The sequence below is a fragment of the Homo sapiens genome, chromosome 2, assembly GCF_000001405.40.
Source record: "Homo sapiens chromosome 2, GRCh38.p14 Primary Assembly".
Lineage (NCBI taxonomy): Eukaryota > Metazoa > Chordata > Mammalia > Primates > Hominidae > Homo > Homo sapiens.
The window spans coordinates 44,474,637-44,496,676 of record NC_000002.12 but is presented as its reverse complement, the minus strand read 5'-3'; the positions used below and the strand labels follow the sequence as shown (position 1 = coordinate 44,496,676).

Here is a 22,040-nt window from a genome sequence, read left to right as displayed (position 1 = left end):
TCCCTTAGGAACGTAGAAGACCACCAGATATTAATTAACTCTACCTAAAAGGCTTGGTTATCTCATGTTCAGAAGTGAAAAGCAAGGATATTCATCTCTCATCATCAGCTAATATTTATTGTGTGCCTGTAAGGCATACGTACAAGTCACCTACAAGGATGGGCTCTAAAAACTGTATTAGTCAAAAGTGGAAAATGCTTTTGTTACTCTATGAAATATACATTAAATGTGGCAATACTCTGCAGAGCTCTACTTACAAATACATAATAAATAGGGTGCCCGTGTTTCTTTGAATCAGTAGGGAGTGTTTACCTTTAACCTTCACTCCCTAGACAACAGCTGTTCTTCTATTCAAGTATTGACAATATTGTGCAATAGTATCGGAAAAATATGACGCTGAATATGCTTTATTGTTATAAGACAGTAAGGGATCAATTCATTTAAAAAGCCCTGATTTATTCCAGAGGAAAAGTACAATAATGCTGGTTAAATTAATAGTCAAATCTTTAGATTGGTCAATATAAAGGACAGTGTAAAATTGTACTGAGGACTTTTACAATAGAAATCTGAAAAGCTTCAAATGCTTTGGCATTTTACAAATTATTAACTTGGGTATGGCCTAGTGCAACCATGGCCTTACTCTGAATGCAGGAGGGAAAAAAACTAAATACTCTGTATTTAAGGATTATTCACTGTTCTTTACTTTGAGTTACTAGGTATTCATAAGAAAGTAAGAGATTCTGCCAAAGACATGTGATTATACGTGGAAGAAACTGAATCACTAATAAAAATGAAATTGGATCTACTCAAAAGCAACCCAATAGAAGGAGAATAAAACTTTTAGCTGGTCCTGTTCACTGGTGGCTTTCTTTGTGGGCTCATAATGTGGAACAAGAAAGGTACACACCACTGCTGGAACTACACTGTGACAGCTGCTAAAGAATGGAGCTGACTAGAGATTTCAGGCTGGGTCCAAATCTGCCTTGCTCATGCAACTTGCCAACAACCAGTAGTAAGAATTGCTTCCAATTGACATCCTTGGCCTACAATAAAGGGCAGTATTAACATTAACACTACAAAAGCTTTTAGAAACCCAAAGTTAGATTACCAGAATTGTGATGACATTTTTAACAATATATTTTCATGATTTTTTTCACATATTACAAAACTGCAATGAATTTTCTTTTTAATTTTAAAACTTCTAGTCAGTCCTCAAAATAAATATCAATTCTTGGCTGTGCACGGTGGCTCACATCTTTAATTCCAGCACTTTGGTAGACCAAGGCAGGAGGATTGCTTGAGGCCAGGAGTTCAAGACCAGCCTGGGCACCATAGCAAGATCCTGACCGCTACCAAAAAAATTTAAAAAATTAGCTGGGCAGGTGGCATGCACCTGTAGTCCAGGCTACTCAGGAGGCGTAGGCAGGAGGATTGCTTAAGCTTAGGAGTTCAAGGCTGCAGTGACCTATGATCACACTACTACCATTCTAGCCTGGGTGACAGAGCAAGAACCTGGCTAAAAATAAAAATCAATTATTTTTAGAAAGATTGCAGAGGCATTTATTTCTTTAAAAAAGTAGTGAGATTATTCTCAAACCTAAATATACTGCTTATTTTATTACATGGATGTGGACATAATTAGGGTCTATCCATCATCACTCTACATCTCACGTTCATTCAACAGATACTTCCTGAGCAACTACTGTGTGAGATGGATGAAAAAACTAAGCCAAATAAGATACAGTACCTGCCTTGAAAGAGCTCACAGACTAGTGAGGATGTGCTAAGCACAGTGCTCTGATTACTTGAGCTTCACAGAGTGGCAGGCACCTAACCCAACAAGGGCAGGAGGTGAGAGGTCAGAGAAAGCTTCCTGGGGATGTTTTTAAATTTTCTAATTTACTAATAATAATTCTATCTAAACCTTATCTGTCATAATGGAGTCTCTCTTTCCTATACTAATTGGTAGGTTTTAACTAACTCTAACCTGTGTTCTTTAAAAGAATCCATGTTCTCTTGGTACAATTTAAGATCCTAAAGAAAAAGGGCTTTAAAAATACTTTCTCATTAATTTAAAAACAATCCAACACTTTGAATTGCATGTTAGCACTGAAAATGTTTCCATTTTTATGTCCTAGTGTTTTATGTTATTAACATTTCACATTCTGCATGACCATTATCCCTTAGCAACAGTTTTAAAATTTGGATCAAATTCTAGAGAATGAGAGTATCTCATTTTTGTACGTAAACAGAGGGAAGAGGGGGGAAAAAAAGTGAGGTGGTCTCTCTCTTTTGCCCACCTCAAACATAAAAGAAATATATTAAAATACCACTCACAAAATCTCAAGAGGACACAATTCAAAGGATAATAATAAATGCAAGTCAACAAGAGTTGACATTTCCATCACCTAAGCTTGTTGTATACAGTACCTCCCGTTCATGTCTACTGACATCCAAGAGTAAACCCTAAGGGAGTTGTTTTGAGCGAGGGTTTCTGTATGTCTCTTTGAATAGGAATACAAAGTGACAGAAAAATAACTCAAAATTGCTATAAAATGAATGGTATTTCCAAATGCACAGGCAAACAACATGCACTTTAATGTAACACATTTCTTCTTATTTGGCAGTAAGTTAAAACATATGTTGTTTGAAGTTTATATAAAATGGATGAAAAGGTGTTATTTGTGTTAAAAATGAAACCAAATTACTAAGTGGTTTAAAATCCATGGCTTTTATTATCCAAATGTAGCCAGTTAAAAGTAATGTCACTTGAAGAGTAAAAATAAATTAGGGTTAACAGTTACTGGTTTGCTTATTTTTTTGATGAAGGAAATAAACAAAGTAAAACCCTTCAAAAATATGCACTTAGTCATTACAATTTCGTAATTTTCTTTAACACAATTCCAAAAAACAAACAACAAAGAAATTTTGTTACCCCTTAAAATCAAGTACAAATATTTTTTCCAAGGCTTTTTCTTCTATAAATTACCAAAGAAGGAGCTCTCAAAGTTTAGTCACACTTCAAAAAGGAAAAGTCAATGGCAACAGGCAAAAATCAGGTGGTCAAAAATGTCTTTATCAACTTGCCCTGGGAAAAACACATCTCATGAAGAAGAATAAAAACAAAAAGCAAAATCATTATTATCAAATAATTTTTTAAACCATCAATAGTTTGATTAGCACTTTATAAAACAAATAAAAACAACAGTACATCCTCTGGGGTTGTTTAGACTTGAGAGAGACAGAGAAAGACAGAATGATTTCTAACGGGCTGCAGGAGTAGAAGTCCAGAACTAAAACTTAAAAACAAAAAGTTTTGCTACTTTGTTTTCAAATATACAGTATATAGGCAGATATTTGTTTCTGAGGCCTCAGGTACCTGGCACAGGTGACTTTAGTTCTAAAGTCATAACTTTTTTAGGATTCAAAGTAAATTCATGTTTTTTTCCTGTTGACCAGTGCTTAATAGAGCAAAATATTAAGGCCAGGTGCAGTGGCTCATGCCTGTAATCCCAGCACTTTGGAAGCCTGAGGTGGGTGGATCACGAGGTCAGGAGCTCGAGACCAGCCTGGCCAGCATGGTGAAACCCCGTCTCTGCTAAAAAAATTACAAAAATTAGCTGGGCATGGTGGTACATGCCTGTAATCCCAGCTACTCAGGAGGCTGAGGCAGGAGAATCGCTTGAACCCAGGAGGTGGAGGTTGCAGTGAGCTAAGATCATGCCATTGCACTCTAGCCTGGGCGACAGGGCAAGACTGTGTCTCAAAAAAAGAAAAAAAAAAAAAAGATACAATATGTCCCCCAAAGATCAGATAACTTAGCTCTAATAAATAAAATCCAAGAAGCATATTCTGCTACAGTAAATCCTTAAAGTAGGAACAAATGCCTTAGGAGAAAGCCTTTATCTTTAGAAAGAACTGTGTCCTATTTTGAGTGATGATAAATATTCAACAAAAAATATTTTGTCATGGATTGTATCATTACCACTGATTGACACCAAAGATAAACCAAGCAGTGAAGAAGGCCCAACCCACAAACCAACATCATCGGTGATATTGGGTCCAAGAAAGATTCGTCAAAGATGTCATCACAATAGTGCTTTTGCCCTATTAGTTAAGTTGGGCAAACGCACTCTCAGATGCAAAACACCTTACCTACATTGCTTACTTGCAATATTATTTTTTTAACTTTTAAAATATTTTTTACATTTTTTATTCTTACCTGGAAATAAGAGTATTTGAGAAACCTGGAGTACTTCAGAAACTTTACAGTTTAATATTGTCCATGTTGGAAACAAGTATTGACTATCAAAAAATATGAAAATAAAAATATATAATTTACATTTATGGAAGTTGATAACAATTTTAAGAGGAAATAAACTATTAACCACAGACTAAATTTCATTTTCAAATATGATCTGCTTCTCCTAACATTTTAAATGTTAGAAGACACTGGTGAATATCCTCCTTTATTCTCACATACTGGCATTCTACCAAAAAAAAAACTCAAATGTTTTATAAGGGACATAATTTCATTAATCCTCATACAGTCTCTGAGATTTATGTTCAACCCCTGCCTTTTTTTCTCTGTCCTTCAAATGAAGTGAACAATAAAATCATAACTAAGATCTAGATGAGTCTCACATCTGCAGTTCTCAAATTCCTAACCAGTGCTTCACATTTCAAAAAGTTCATCAGCTGGATTCACGATTTAAGGTAAATCAGTAATATTAGTAGAACTAAATCTAATTACTTAATTGATTAAAAAAGAAAGAAAGAAAACATTTCCTGAATTTCATGCTCTACAAACTTTTCTTATAAATTTGTTGATACCTTCAAAGAATGCTATATTCTCAACATACCTTTAAGGCAATTAGTTACCAATTAAAAAGGGCCCATTCTGGTTAAGGGGGTGCAATAGGTAAAAGAACAGCAACAAGAAAAGTGTATGGTCTGCCCTCATAGCCATAAAGAAAATCAAAAAAAGGTCAGATGTATAGTCACAAGTGATAACCTGACAGGGCCGAAAGTCAGGCATTTATCATAGTGCAGTGTAAGTTACATATTTCTATATTATACAACTATCCTATGAATAGCTCAATTAAATTGCCTTTGTACAAAGAGTTACTTTATTAAATTAACACATTTAAAATATTCCAAAATTTTTGTAACCCTGTTTTCGGTATTTTCTTCAGTTTTTAAATATCCTGGAAGCCAATGGTGTACCAAAAGGTACGGCATGGTAGGAGTGGTCTACATGAATAAGGATAGGGAGAGGTATTTTACCACTGGCATTTAAAAAAATTTTAGGCACATATGATAATTAAAAGCAGAACAACTTTCAATTTTATTATTTTTTTTGAAAAATTATCTAACTCACTTCATTGCCCTAGAATGGACCACCTCTTCTATCCCCTCCAGCCATTGGCACAACCTTGCTGGAAATCTCAAAAACATAGAAATAGCTAAGAGTTTGTCACAATCTCTGGAATACTCTGCATTTACCTTTTTTTTTTTTTTTTTTTTGAGACAAGGTCTGGCTCTACTGCTCAGGCTGGAGTGCAGTGGCGTGCTCTCAGCTCACTGCAACCTCTGTCTCCTGGGCTTGAGCCATCCTCCCACCTCCGCCTCCCAAGTAGCTGAGACTACAGGCATGCCACCATGCCCAGCTAATTTTTTTTGTATTTTTTGTAGAGACAAGGTTTCATCATTTTGCCCAAGCTGGTGTCAAATTCTTGAGCTCAACTGATTCACCCACCTCGGACTCCCAAAGTGTTGTAATTACAGGTGTGAGCCACCTCACCTGGCCACATTTGCTTATCATTCCTAAATGACTTCATTGCTGTTTTCTTCTCTTCCTTTTTCTCCTCCTGTTTGTTCAATTTTAAGCACTTTATAAAGAAAATAGTAAAGCTGAATTTAGATCTTATTGAATTATTAGGCTGGAATGGAGAGAAATACATACTGTTCATCTAGTAAAATACTGCTCTCACAACATAAGTTATAATACATATAACTTTCAAGTACATGAGTACTTGAAATCCAGAATACTTCAAAATGAAGATAAATATGTGGAGATTTTAGTTTCTAGAAAAACGATAAGGCTGGGTGCAGTGGCTCATGCCTGTAATCCCAGCACTTTGGGAGGCCGAGGCAGGTGGATCACCTGAGGTCGGGAGTTCGAGACCAGCCTGACCAACATGGTGAAACCCCATCTCTACTAAAAATACAAAATTAGCCGAGTGTGGTGGCGCATGCCTGTAATCCCAGCTACTCAGGAGGCTGAGGCAGGAGAATCACTTGAACCCGGGAGGCGGAGGTTGTGGTGAGCCAAGATCGCGCCATTGCACTCCAGTCTGGGCAACGAGAGCAAAACTCCATCTCAAAAAGAAAGAAAGAAAGAAAGAAAAAGACAAGAAAAAGAAAGATGACAAATGAGCTATTATTGAAAATTATATAATTAAACACTTTGGAATGGTCTGATTCAAGAGTACCTAACTATTGTAAAAGTCTATATATTTTTCCTTTTATTTCTAACATATCTGTGTGGAAAAGGATTTTTGCATCTGTCTGCATTAAAAATATATATAATACTATAACTGGATGTTGCATCTGGTATGCAGATCCAACAGTGAAACATTGCCCATATATTTGTGTGTGTGTGTGAGTGTGCGTGTGTGTGTATTAATCTAATATATACATTAGATTCAGCAAGTACATGTGCAGGTTTATTACATGGGTATATTGCATAATACTGAGGTTTGGGCTTCAAGTGAACCTTTCACCCAAATAGTGAACATGGAACCCAATAAGTAGTTCTCCTTATATTAGATGGGTATGGATAAGACATAAAAACACTGTTCTCATTGAAAGTGTTTTTTTAATTTCATTTTAAATTAGGTTTTTCTTGTTCTTTTTACAATAATCCAATTTTTCTAATATGTTACCATTATTTTTTCCATTCTGTTAAAGTTTTCAAAGCATAAGAATCACAATTGCTACTTCTCACGGCAATTAGTTTGCAAGGTTTTATTTTCCTGTCAATTGTAATCCAAGTATTGCAATATACTATTATACCTCATTACTTCATTTTGGAGTTCTTCCACGACATCAGAATATAAAAAGTATTCCGGCCAGGCGCAGTGGCTCACACATGTAATCCCGGCACTTTGGGAGGCCAAGGCAGGTGGATCATCTGAGTTCAGGAGTTCGAGACCAGCCTGACCAACATGGTGAAACCCCGTCTTTACTAAAAATACAAAAATTAGCTGGGCATGCTGGCGGGTGCCTGTAATCCCAAATACTCAAGAGGCTTAGGCAGGAGAATTGCTTGAACCTGGGAGGCAGAGATTGCAGTGAGCCAAGATTGCGCCATTGCACTCCAGCCTGGGCGACAGAGCAAGACTCCATCTCAAAAAAAAAAAAAAAAAAAATAGTATTCCATGAACAAATAAATATGAAAACCATTAGACTAGAGGAAGAATTTTAAAAACGTCAAAAATTAAAAGTCCAGCGTTGGTGGGTCATGCCTGTAATCCCAGAACTTTGGGAGGCTGAGGCAGGAGGAGGATTGCCTGAGACCAGAAGTTTGAAACCAGCCTGGACAACATGGCTAGACTCCATTTCTAAAACAATGTTTAAAACTTAGCCAGGCATAGTGGTATATACCTGCAGTCCCAGCTCCTCAGGACGGGGGGACAGGAGGATCCCTTGAGCCCACGAGTTCAAGGCTGCAGTGAGCTATGACTGTGCCACTGTACTCCAGTCTGGGCAATGGAAAGGGACTCCATTTCTTAAAACACACACACACACACACACACACACACACACACAAATACCCTAAGGCTTTTCTAATTTTTAATAAGTATCCTTGTGCTTAAAAAAAGTATGACTCCATATTTCATAACAATGCAACTGAACATCACTTTACAAATAAGTTTGGGTTTTTTGGGGTGAGTTTTTTTTTTGTTTGATTTGAGAGAGGATCTCGCTTGTCACCCAGGCTGGAGTGCAGTGGAGCAATCATGGCTCACTGCAACCTTCACTTCCTGGGCTCAAGTGATCCTCCCACCTCAGCCTCCTGTGTAGCTGGGATCACAGGTGCACACCACCATGCCTGGCTAATTTCTGTATACAAATAAGTTATTAATAACATACTCAAATTTTTTTTAAAAGACAGAGTTTTGCTCTTGTTACTCAGGCTGGAGTGCAATGGCACAATCTTGGCTTACCACAACCTCTGCCTCCTGGGTTCAAGCGATTCTCCTGCCTCAGCCTCCCAAATAGCTGGGATTACAGGCATGCGCCACCACACTCAGCTAATTTTTTTTGTATTTTTAGTAGAGATGGGGTTTCACCATGTTGGTCAGGCTGGTGTCTCGAACTCCTGACCTCAGGTGATCCACCCGCCTTGGCCTCCCAAAAGGCTGGGATTACAGGTGTGAGCCACCGCGCCCGGCCAACACACTCAAATATTACTGAATTATATACTGGCAAACTTACACATTTCATATCCCTAAAGATAGATAACTTGATACATATGGAGACTTTAATGTCATTGATATTGGTATGAGACACATACTTCATGCCGTTCTTTCATAAGTCTAAACTATATCTCATTTAATTACATAAGCCTCAATTTTAGAGTTCTCTTACATACTACAGAAATCTTTACAAAGCTAGTATGAAAATGAGGCAGAAACTACCCAAAAGCCAAGTGTGCTATGACATAAAGAAAATACTAAAGAGCATTTGAAATCTGGCCTGTAGGCCATGAATATGAAAATCTACCTGCTTGAAGCAGAATTACTTCATTGAGGAAGATGTGGTGTCAAGTCTTTGGAAAAGGTGACAACTCAAACTAGTGGAAAGCCACTTTATTGAGAACTGTGGGAATTTCTAAATTAGGGGCCTTATGGGTCTTCTGACTATCCATTTGAATGCATAAAATGATAACATTTGAGGACTTGCATCCATTTCACATATCTCATCCCAGGACACAGGTTGTGTCTATGATTGCCTTCACACAATGACCAGTACAAAAGGAAGAATTTCATTTGTCTTCACTCCGGTTACCTGGTTTAGGCATTGTCATTAAATTAAACAGTTTATATTTGTAGTATGATACAGACATCAGTCCTTATGAATCCAATGTCAAAACTTTATTTAAAAAAAACCTGTTAATTTGACAGAAAGCATGTCAGTGGTAGAAATATAAAATTCAAGTCTGACCTCTCTATTTGATTATAATTATCATGATAGTACATATTTCAACTTTATATAATAAACAAATACTAAAAACTCAAAACATTTGAGAAATCATTACCTATAATGACTTTGCTAGAAAGTTCTTTTTAAGCTGTAGATGATTTAAGAGCAACTTCAAAATATCACTAAGCTCTATGTTATCAGAAAAAAAAAAGCTGATTTCACATTTTTATAAAGTAACTTAAAGATGAGCACAATGTTACTCTGAGAAAAGTAGTTTGTTCTAACAGTGAATACCAGGCCTTTTTAAGTTTCTACTTTAACATAAACTTTTTTTTATTTTGACCACTTATCCTCAAGTTTTAGTTTATCGTAAAATTTAACTACAGTAACAAAAGGCTAGTGCCTACAAAAGGGTCCCAAATTCCTCATCCTAATATTCAGTGCTGATAAGAATTACATGTTCCAAAATGATCAAATCTATCTATAAAATAGTGAAACACATAGTTAAGCATATTTCATGTTATGAACGACTGACTTACAAACATTCATTCATGTACTTATTTTATTCAGTACTGGGCACAATGTTAGGCACTGGAATCTAAATTATAAACAACACAGACAATGTCTCTCAGGACAGACAACACAGACAACTTCACTCAGGAAGCTTACGGTTTCTTGGGGGGTACACCAAGGATTTGTGGGAACATAGAAGGAAAGCATTTGGCCCAAACTGATGGGCCTGGGAAGGCTTTCTGGAAGAAGCGGTATCTGTGCTGAGCAACATATATGCTCAATGGCTTTCAGCTCTCTGACTAAAGTTCCTTTAACAACATTCAGGTTCATAAACACTATCCTGTGTAGGTAAAGAACCACAGCCCGAAGAACCTTGCAACATTGAGGCATTCTATGACCAACATCAGTACACACTATGAGTTTGTGCCTAAGTTAAAAATATTTATCTCGTGAACCACCTCTTTCAAATCAGAAAAAGCTTCCAGAGCTTCTTATCCACATTCCAGACTGCTTTTCCTCTGCTCTGTATTGGAAAAGCTAAAAAACAAACAAACAAACAACAAACAAAACACAACTTCTGTTACCTCTCTTTTTTATTAAACTTGTTTACTGAAGTACAATGTACATACAGAAAAGTAAAAAAATAAGATCATGGCTGAAAGAATTATCACAGAGTGAACACACCCAGGTCAGAGACGGTGGCTCACACCTGTAATCCCAGCACTTTGGGAGGCCAAGGTGGGTGGATCACTTGAGGCCAGGAGTTCAAGGCCAGCCTGGCCAACATGGTGAAACTCCGTCTCTACTAAAAAAATACAAAGATTAGCCAGGCGTGGTGGCACGGGCCTGTAATCCCAGCTACTCAGGAGGCTGAGGCATGAGAATTGCTTGAACCCAGGGGACAGAGGTTGCAGTGGGCTGAGACCGCACCACTGCACTCAAGCCTGGGCGACAGAGTGAGACTCCATCTCAAAAAATAAAAATAAAAAAAGTGAACACACCCACATAATCATCACCCAGTTTAAGAAATGGAATATTAGTAGCACTCCTGAAGCTTCCCTTGTTCCCTTTCTCTCTTCCCCAGAGGTAAGCATTATCCTGATTTCTAACACCACAGATTGGTTTTGCCATCCTTTGGACTTTATACAAATGGAATCATATAGTATAGTCATCTGTTGCATAAGGATGTTTTGGTAAGAGAAGGACCACATATATGTTGGTCCCTTCAGATTATAATATCAGTTTTTTATTGTACCCTTCCTATGTTTAGATACATAAATACTTACCATTGTGTTACAGTTGCCCACAGTATCCAGTACAGTAACATGCTGGAGAGGTTTGTAGCCTCAGAGCGGCAGGCTATACCACATAGCCTATGTGTGCAGCAGGCTATACCATCTAGGTTTGTGTAAGTACACTCTATGATGTTCGCACAACAAAATTGCCTAAGGACACATTTCTCAGAACGTATCGCCATTGTTAAGTGATGCATGACTGTATGTATTATTTTGAGTCTGTCATCTTTTGCTCAACATTATGTTTGTGAGATTTGTACAGCATATTGTGTGTGGAAATAGTTGATTCATTTTCTTTGCTTTAAAAATATTCCATTATATGAATAAACCACAATTTATTTGTCTTTTCTAATGTTGATGGGCATTTGAGTTATTTCCAGTGTTCAGCTATTAAAAAATACTATGAACATTCTTGCATACGTCTTTTGGTGCACACATTTTTGTAGGGTCTACTATACCAGAGAACGAAATTGCCAGGAAACAGGATGCATATACTTTCAGCTTTAACAGACACTGTCAAGCAGTTTTCCAAAATGGTTTTTCCATTAGTAGTGTATATGAGTTTCAATTGCTCAACGTTATTATCAATACTTGGTTTTGCCAGTCTTAGTTTTCACCATTCTGTTGGAAATATGTTGGTATCTTATTTTGGTTTCAATTTGTATTTACCTGGTGACTATTTCGGTTTAGTATCTTTTTCTGTTTATCGGCCATTTGGATATACTGTTCGTGAAGTGCCTGTTCATGTTTTTCACATTTGTGAAATTAGGTTCTTTTTTTTCCTGTTGATTTGTAAGAATTTGTTATATATTCTGAAAATAAGTCCTTAGTTATATGCATTTCAAATACCGCCTCCTACTCTGTAACTTACATTTCTACTTTCTAAATAGTGTCCTTCAATAACAGAAATTCCTAATTATAACATAGACCAATTTATCAATCTTTTCTGTATGGTTTTTTTTTTTTTGTCCTATTTAAGATATCCTTACCTAACTCAGGGTCATGAAGATATTCTTATGCATTAATGTTAGAAGCTTTACTGCTTTACCCTCTATATTTAGACTTATAGTCTAAATAGAAATCTGAAATTGATATTTGTATATGGTATGAGGTAGAGGACCATGATTTTTTTTCATGAGGTTATCCAGTTGAATCAGAATATTTTATTAAAAATACCATCCATCTTCATTGTTTTGCAGTGCTACCTATGTTATAAAATCAAGTTTCCACATATATGTGGGTATATTTTTGGACTCCTTATCATTTTATTTGACTTTCATCAATCCTTACACCAATACCACGCTATCTTAATTACTGTAGCTTTATAACAAGCCTTGATATCTGGTAGTGTAAATCTTCCAACTTTCTTCCTTTTCTTCCAGATGATTTTGACTATTATTGGTTCTTTACATTTTCATATAAACGTTAAAATCGTTTGTCAGTTTCTACCAAAAAAAAAAAACCCATTGGCTCTATCCACCTATTTTTGTTTCTGCTCTGCTAATAGTATCTCTTCTGTCTCCCTGCCAATGGCTTCAGATCATTTTGGAGTACATTTCTCCCCATTAGGACTTAGGCACTCATTTCTGCAAAGAAGGTATGAGGTACCACTATGAGGTATTTCAGAGTAAAGGCTCATGGTAATGCTTTAAGAGCATGCCTGTGATTCTTAGAAACTTCTTCAGTTCCTTAGAGATTTTGCAAGAAAACATAATTTTTAAAGAGTCAATTATTCAGACTTCTCTAGAAATATATTTTTGTGACAACTGCCAGTATCATATACTTCTAAAATCTCAGGGGATATTCAGAAGCTCCACTCCTATCACTCTTTAAAATCAACGGGAATCACAACTTTGCTAGAATTTTACAATGCAAAAGGTCTTCAGGGCTTACTCCTTTTTTGATTAAGCCCAGTTTTACTTGAAGATCAGTTTTCAAAATGAATAATTACTCATATAATTATTTTTGTTTTATATTGAGAACTGAAACAGCATTATTTTCCCTTAGACCTTGAGCTACATGATGGCCTTCATATGTTCTTGTCCTTTAATTTCTTAATACTCAAATTACAAGCAAACTTTAGAAGTACAATGGTCTAAAATTAGAAGTCAAGGATTTAGGATACCAGTTTGGGTTATGCCATCAAGAATTTATGACTACTCATATACACTCTCTAAACAGAGGAGAGCAATTACACTGCCTATGTGTAATATATTGCATTAACTAGATAACATCTTTAAGGCTAATAAAGTCCATTAGACTAAAATGAACTTCAGAACAGGTACTGTTGGATCCCTATACCTCAAAAATAGTAAAGTTTAATAACTGTGGTTGAATTCATGAGTAACTAATTTTGATCTCATCATTGTTTTTCTGAAAGCACAGAAGAAAAAAATGAGTTAAATGAAAAGTTGACTTTAAATGTTAAGGCAGCTAAATTTCACATTCAGCTTTATTCTCCCCACACTGACTGAGGGTGACATATCTATTCAGGTAAGAGAGTAGAGAGGGCTGAAGAGTCAGGCCTGAATGGGAAAATGTCAGTTGTAGGAGCCTTTAGTGTATTTTTATATAGTGCTAAGCACATGTCTTGCCCACAACATGCATGCTATATGTACTTGTTGATTCCATTGGACAGCACTCAAAGCCACAGCATTGGCATCATGATTCTTTGTAATACAGATGGTGCCTTTATAAGAAATGTTGACTTTAAGCAGAACCTGATTGTACATGCCCATGGCTCAGAAGTCCTCTTTTGTAGGTCACGAAACTAGATGCACATGAAGACAATGGATTCCATGAAGAGAGAGAATAATTTCACGCATATGCTGAAATATCTGGAGTGTTTATGATACTAATTTACCTTTCTAATCATCATTCTCCCCTCTACAAAAAGAAACATGTTCATTAATAATATCCAACATGGATTCTACAGAGTTTCAGGCCTGTGAAAAAAAGGGCCCTCCTAGGGTGAAGTATAAGGCCATTTCTAGGGTCCAGAAGTCTGAAGAAGGCCACTCAGAGAAAACGGTCCCAGCATTTTAAATTATTTACTCAAAATAGAACTATGTTTAATAATAATATTTTCGTTAAATGTTTATAAGTAAATATATTTACCTAAATGTACAGAAATTAGTGTTAACACTCTTATTTATGTAGTACCCAGGTAATCAGAAAGCTCAATCATTATCAAATTATTTTTCCCCATAAGCAAGACTCTAAAATAGCAATAGATGCTCACAATGATAATCATTCACACTAAAGATTCCAATAGACCTCCTGAAGAATTTTTGGAAGTAATTGTTTTGGGTGTATGTTTAAGATTAAGTTTATTATATTCTAATGCTTACAAAACTAGTCATATGTACAATACGTACACATGGACACTAGGTTAAACAGAAAAATTCAATTAGTGAAAAATTCCATTTACTACTTGTTACATAGAATCAGACATTTATTGTATCTGCTGCTTTCTCAAATTCAGGCATATCAGTCACTGTGCTCCCTCTCCTGAAAGTCTTTCCCTATCAGTCTATTATGCAATTCTCTAAGCCCTAAAATTCCCCTCAAAATGCATGAGTTAATTATATTCTATCCTTTCAAACATGTCAACAGTTTCTGTGAACATCTTTTAGGTAATATTTTACTAATATTAAAGTTTACTATTGTTAAATATGGGAAAGTTAAATACATATTCATTTTTAAATAGATCAACAGAATTTTTAATTACAAGGAATTGAAATTTCTAAAACCCGGGTTTAAATGAGTCTAAGCTGTTCAAACTTAACTATATATCTCATTTTTTCCCCATATGTATGATACCTAAAAATATATTTTAGCTTATTTTTTAAACCAGCATACATTCAATTTCTGAAAACAACTCCAAGCTTTGATAGTATCTGATTCATCAAAAGCTTTGTCATTCATCGAAATGATTTTACTTACAAAACATAAATATCAACTTTATCATTAGGGAATGTTTTGTTGAATAGCAATATGAATTCACTGAAGGACATATATCATTTTACTAAAATACTTTGTAAAAATTTACAAATTAGAACAAAGTGATCATCCTTACATGTTCATAAGTTACATAAGAAAATAATATAAACTGAAATTAATTTTAACATAAGCTTCTGAAAGAGAATTGCAAAAATAAAAATGGAATTTATCTTGTCATATCTTGGTGTTCAAAATATTTTTAAAGAAAGGATAGACAGAATGTTCACAGATGACCTGAAGAGCCTTGCCTTAAGTGATGATTTTTTCCTATTCAGCTAGCTATTATAAATATGCTAAAAACAACAGCAAGGACAAAAAAATGCACATAATTAAACTGTCATTATGCCATCAAAAATAGATTTTATATGAACATATAATATTACAAGTGTTCAAAAATAAGTTGATTTATACTTTGCTCCTAGTAGTTCCTTTAAAAACAAATAATTTTTTCAGTAGCTGACAATGCACAAAATAATTACTAAGAGCATGTGAGGTTCCCAGCAAACTTTTTTGCTTATATAATTCTGTTTCCTTTCACATCCACCAAATGGGAAATGGAATCATATGTGACACTAATAATTCTTCATGAAAAACATCATTCTGAACATACTATTGAATAAATGTATTCATATATACATACACACACACACACACATAATATGGATGATAGAAAGTATAGGCATGTATCTCCTATTTATATGATCCAAATGTTCTACAACCCTAAAACCTACATTTCCTTTATCTTCAATAAATATATATATGCATCTCTATGTATGATATGTATAATACATATAAATATGTATGTTTTAATTTGAAATAATGTATTCATTTCACAGCTTTAGATTAGTTCCAAAAATATGGTTCAAAAATATAGAGTTTACAAATGTACCTAATTGATACAAAGAGATCAGCTCCAAAAGAGTAACAGTTTAACCTATTCCCTTCAAAATACGTTAAGATACTCATACATTGCCATTAGTTTACTTTGTTATCTCAAATGATAAATAAAAAGAATCTAGTCTTTCCTGAATTTAAAACAAAGATAGAATTCTCAGATTTTCATATTAATTTGAGTAAACGATCATAATACAGTTTCTGGATAATTAATTTGAGCAATAAGACAAGGGTTGCTGAATTTCTGAATAGGCATTTCTAGAGATAGGCTTAACTCTATTTTGACTTGAACCAAAAAACTAGTTTTATTTAGCATTTTGCAACTCTCTGAACTAAACACAATAATTAGCAGGGAAAATTTTTTTAATGTTCACTTGACCGTTAAAACTGAATGAATTACAATTGTTATACCTAATATGGAGTTTATTCTGGATGTGTGGAGGGTGTGTGTATGTGTGTGCAAGTGACCCACTGAAGTAACAAGCACTCTGCTGCTTGGGAGTGGCAAAAGGTGAGTTGCTCTAAGAGTACAGTACTTACATCCTCAGTTCTGTGTCGCCTAACAGAAACTACAGTATGTTTCAAATCTTTTTTCTTAAAGAGAGTTATAAAATCACTCTTTGATAGGTGCTACAATTTGGTTCAAAGCCTCCTAAAAGTTGAATGGCAATGTTAAAACCATTAAGCACTCAGCTCCTGAACATGGAGAAAATTATGCTTGTATAGCAACTAGGACTTCCTTCTCAAGATTGCAGCAGCAGTCAACATTAACAATGGATGATTCTTGTAATTGGGGTGGAAGGCTAGGGTGGGAGAGGAAAAGAAAAAAAAGTTTACATCATATCTTTCCCTGAGATTACCTAAAAATTTATACTTCATAATTTAACACCATAAAATTACGGCTGTCAATACTTGTTTGGGGACACACTTTCAAATACAAAATGGAACTTAAAAGAAAGATAAGCTACTTAAATCTTAAAAGGGAAACTAAACATTAATGGTAATTTTCTCATGTATCACATTTCAAAGAAGAGCCCTTACAGTATAAAGATTCCATGAGTTCGTGACAGCTTTATTCTTAGACCCACAAATCGAGCCATTGTTATGCTCTGAAACTGTAGGAACTGCTGCCACCTATAGGATCTGAACAACAATGGCAGTGTTTTACTCAGCAGTACCCTCTACTGGGGACAGAAATGTGATGAATGTGTAGGCACTTTTCTTAACAGCAGGTGGCCTCACTTTTGCTACAGATTTACCTCAAAAATGTTGGTTTAAAAGCTTTTTCATGTTTTGTAAAATAAACTCCAACTTCCGCCTGAATCTAAAGTTGCTAGGTGATCTGAGATAGGAAAAAAACCCACAACCGTGAACTCTGAAAATTCACTTCCATAAACAGTTTCACAAAGTTGTTCCCCAGTTGCTAATCTAATGTCACTTAGTGCCATGCCATACCAACCAAGACACAAAAGAGAGGTACTCTACTGAGACTCCCTGCATAAGGGTGAAATTAAGGAAAGTTTTTATTGAGTATAAAATGTCTGTTACCATAATTAGTCCCATCTTTCTAGAATTTATTACACTCTGTAATATAAAGTAACTATAAAGATGCCAGTTTCTTGTGGCATTCTTAGGTAACTAATATTAAGCAAGGTTATACATTTTTAAAGATATTTACTGTTGAGGATTAGTAAACTCAAACATTTAAGAATAGCAATATGTACCAAGGATGTCAGCAAAATTTTCTTAGAAAAGAAAAGCAATTGCCGGGCGCGGTGGCTCACGCCTGTAATCCCAGCACCTTGGGAGGCCGAGGCGGGCGGATCACGAGGTCAGGAGATCGAGACCATCCTGGCTAACATGATGAAACCCCGTCTCTACTAAAAATACAAAAAATTAGCCGGCGTGGTGGCGGGCGCCTGTAGTCCCGGCTACTCGGGAGGCTGAGGCAGGAGAATGGGGTGAACCCAGAAGGTGGAGCTTGCAGTGAGCCGAGATCGTGCCACTGCACTCCAGCCTGGGCGACAGAGCGAGACGCCTCTCAAAAAAAAAAAAAAAAAGGAAGAAAAGAAAAGCAATTAACTTTTATATCTTTTTATTGCAACCAGAAAATGACACCTTCCCTTTGGTTTTATTCCATCCATACAAATTAATTAAAATAACTAATGCCTTTATTATTGTTAAAGATTTGAAAGCATTTTAAATGTTAACAAATAAAAGGTGTTATAACCAAGGGCAGAAGGATTTCAGCATATTCAGAAGCCAAGGTAAAGTAGGTCTATAAACTAAAGAAAATCTTGTAACAGAAAATCATTCAGTCAGAGTCAAGTAGCACTCATACTATGAAAATAAAAAATATTATCCACCATATTGCTGTAGACATGCCATCAACTGATGATATTGCAAAGGCTAAACTCTAAACCTATATCTGTAATCACAGCAAATGGTGGCAAGAAAAAAAATATATAGACTTAGAACAAAACAAAGAAACAAAATAATACCCAATTCAAAGCCATGAAAAAGCAAATAAAATTATTATTGAAATGCTGACTATTGCAGAAATATTGGGTGAATATTTCAAAATGTAGCCAGCTATCCAGATATTTATCATGTTTCTTTAGAAAAAAATTAGGATTTGTTTTTAAGTATATTCAGATCTTTGGTCACAAAATCACAGATTCCTAGAAAATATTTAATATACATTGCTTTTAATTTTACACATTAAATCTATGGTACATATAGGTATTTTTTAGGGCCACTGAAACAAATTGTCACTGCAGCCTTACATACGCTGTTTGCCACTGAAATCTTAGAAAGGAATGGACATGGAGGAAGTACCATCCGTCCCTTTGTGTGAAGTAGCTTTGTTAATTCCATGAGTTCTCACACTACTGCCTTTCACCTGTGACCAAGCTTAGCCTATACCTGTACCATTGTGAATATGCTAATAGTCCTGAATTTAGGCCTATCACCTTCCTTCTTTTCTTTAAATATCTTTACATGTCTGGCCTGGCACCATTTTCTTCAAATGACTATTCTTTAGTGCGAACAAAAGCTCTGATGGACTCTTCAATTCCTTTCATAGTTAAGAAATGGCAGCTAGGCAAAATGGAGGAATAGAAAAAGCTAAATGTGCTCAACCAAAAATGTACTATAACCTTATAATTCTAGATAACTGGGCTTTATCTTAAATCTATACTTTTGAGATTTATAATTTTTTCCAGCTACCTACACAACTTATTTTTAAATTGTTTATTGAGTTACTGTAGTTTATGTTTTTCAGCTTTAAACTGTTTTATCAATTTCCAAACCAGGGTGGGGAAATATGGTTTAAAAATAGTTTTAACTTATAATAGGGCTTAGCAAACTTATTTGATACAAAGTTGTATATAAATATCATTGTACTGAAACCAATACACCAGACTTATATAGATCCACTGGTTCTCAGGGTGGGTACACCTGTACACCCCAATCCTGGACTTCTCCAAAATTTCTGATAACATCATGGGTTTGCTCTACTATGAAGTGCATGTTATTAGATCAAATCTCCAAGCTCCTATTAACTCTATAATGAACTACGGCAAACTGAACTTTTGTTGTGTGTTTTCTAAAAGATAGTGATTAAATACATAGGTAGGCAGATATAATTGTATGTGGTAATACATGCCTACAATGTTTTTCAAATTTTGTTTAAATAATTTTTAAAATTTTCCTAAATTCTCTATATCCTCATAGTAATGATGTCTCTGAGACTATAACCCAGAACTACCATTGATATGACTGTATAAAAGCTTTCTTTCATTACTTCAGTAATAAGCCATTTGGATAATAATAATAGCTGGGATATAGCACCCACCATGTGTCATGTACTAGGTGCTTTTTATTCATAAGCATTGATCCTTAGACCAATCCTTTGAGTTATTATCCCCATTTTACAGATGAGGAAATTGAAAGACAAGTAAATTACATGGCTTGCCTAAGACCACGAGGTCTGTGGATTACAAATTAAGTGCTCTTTCTGTTAAGCAACTGTAGATATAATTTAATTCAATTCCAGAAAACAATATTGAGCTACATGGAACATATGATTCTAAGCATTTTTTTTTTCACAAAGTAATTTAGTTTATAAAATTAGGTAACTCAAAATCTCACAAACATATAAAGTTTTTTTTTACACAGTGTAAAAACACCTTTACACATTTTTAAGAACCCTAAAACCCTGAACATGACAAGATTTAATATTTCACTTATATTCTTGATATATGTTAATATCATCACACAATAAAATGAACACATTTCACAGCAAGAAAAGGACTCAGGAGCTAGAAAATTTAAATAGTTGATGCTACAAAGTCACTATGTATCCCATTTTAAGAATATGTTATACTATGCAAAACTGTAGAAGGACCACATATTGATAATGAGTGGGATCTTTTGAATTTGCAATAATCTTTACCTTTAAGAAATTAATAATCTCCTACTACTTTTTTTTTTCCAACCACATGCTTTCACCACTTTAGTAGTGTCTTCATTTTGAAAGCACTTGGAATAAACAGTTTAAAAACTGTAATTTTCTTTGTAGGTACAGTATTAAATTGCAGTATCAACTCAAGCACCGAAGAACTACAGTGCTACCCTGAGGACAAAAGGCATTTTAGATGTCGTAAATATATTATGAAGAAGTCTTTTCTTTAAATTGTCAGCAAGATAACCTCATTCTTTCCTTTTTAATAGTGATTTAGTGTTGTTTCACACAAAAATCAAATGCAATGGTATTTATGGTACCATACATTATATGATAAGAAACAAAAAGGTTTCAAAGGATATCCTAAAGCTTCAGTTTTAAGGGACATAAGTAGGTGAGCAGATGGTTCTCAGAGAATGCAGTCACAGACTTTCCCCTTCAGAATATTCCTAAACGATACATTTTGATTTGAAGGGTCCTGTTCGTAGGTCCATCATATGCTTCTAGTAAATCAACACTGAAATGAGATCATGCATAAGATTTCTTTTTTAAATAAAATTTCTCTTTAAAATAGTGAGGTATCCAACAGTCCTCTGCCTTTTGAAGGCCATCCTTGTAATATACACAATGTTGCCAGCTCTACTTGCCACACCAGTTATTCCTTTCAAAAATTTCTACTTATAGGCCAGGCGCGGTGGCTCATGCCTGTAATCCCAGCACTTTGGGAGCCAAGACGGGCGGATCACAAGGTGAAGAGATCAAGACCATCCTGGCCAACATGGTGAAACCCCATCTCTACTAAAACAACAAAAATTAGCTGGGTGTGGTGGCACGCACCTGTAATCCTAGCTACTCAGGAAGCTGAGACAGGAGAATCACTAGAACCCAGGAGGCGGAGGTTGCAATGAGCCAAGATGACGCCACTGCACTCCAGCCTGGGTGACAGAGCAAGACTCCATCTCAAAAAAAAAAAAAAAATTTCAACCTATATTCTTACTATTTAAAAACTTCAACTTTTCAAATAAGGTCCATTCTATATTCCTTTATTCAGAACAAGTCCAACCACTTACTAAAAGTTTCCATTTGTTTTTATTAAAGCCTAATTTATCTACTTTAAAATTTAAATCAGATATTAATAAAATTTATTAAATACTCAAGAGGATACAAAAGAAATAATGGAACATGGATATTAAACTAAGCCACATGCTATAGAAGGATTACATTTTGACTCTTTTCAACTGTATCATTTTGGTAAATATTAGAATCAAGTTTGTTCAAATAATAATACATTCTCGAGTTTCATCTATCACTATGTCTCAGGTCTTTTCTTGTCATTCTTGTGTCTGGCCAGTCTTTCACGATGAATGTCATAAATATTACTCAGTTCTACATACCAGGCACTGAATAAAGAAAAGTTATTAGTATGAGGAGCTTACATTTTAGCAGAATAGAGAGCAAAAACGGAAATAGAGAATTGCAGCATAGAGGGTTTCCATGTATTTACAGTGCTGTTAGTGCAATTAATAGAGATATCAAGCAATGTTATTTGGAGTACAGGGAGGAGCATTTGGTCTGGCATAGTGAGGAAGGTCAGGAATAACATTTAACACAGTTGTTTGCTGAATTTGAATCTGAAAGGAAGCAGTCACTGCCTTAGAGAT

The 22,040-nt window shown here is 35.2% G+C and overlaps 1 protein-coding gene and 1 long non-coding RNA gene across 8 annotated transcripts in view; both read right to left on the bottom strand.

Moving 5' to 3' along the window:
- CAMKMT (calmodulin-lysine N-methyltransferase) overlaps positions 1-22,040 on the bottom strand; it is a 410,646-nt gene that overhangs the window by 275,916 nt on the left and 112,690 nt on the right. The window lies entirely within an intron of this gene.
- Positions 2,713-20,886, bottom strand: LOC124907758 (uncharacterized). The gene is made up of 2 exons (XR_007086302.1): positions 4,223-20,886; positions 2,713-3,103 (listed from the first exon to the last, which is right to left on the bottom strand). It is a non-coding gene; the product is annotated as an uncharacterized LOC124907758 (long non-coding RNA).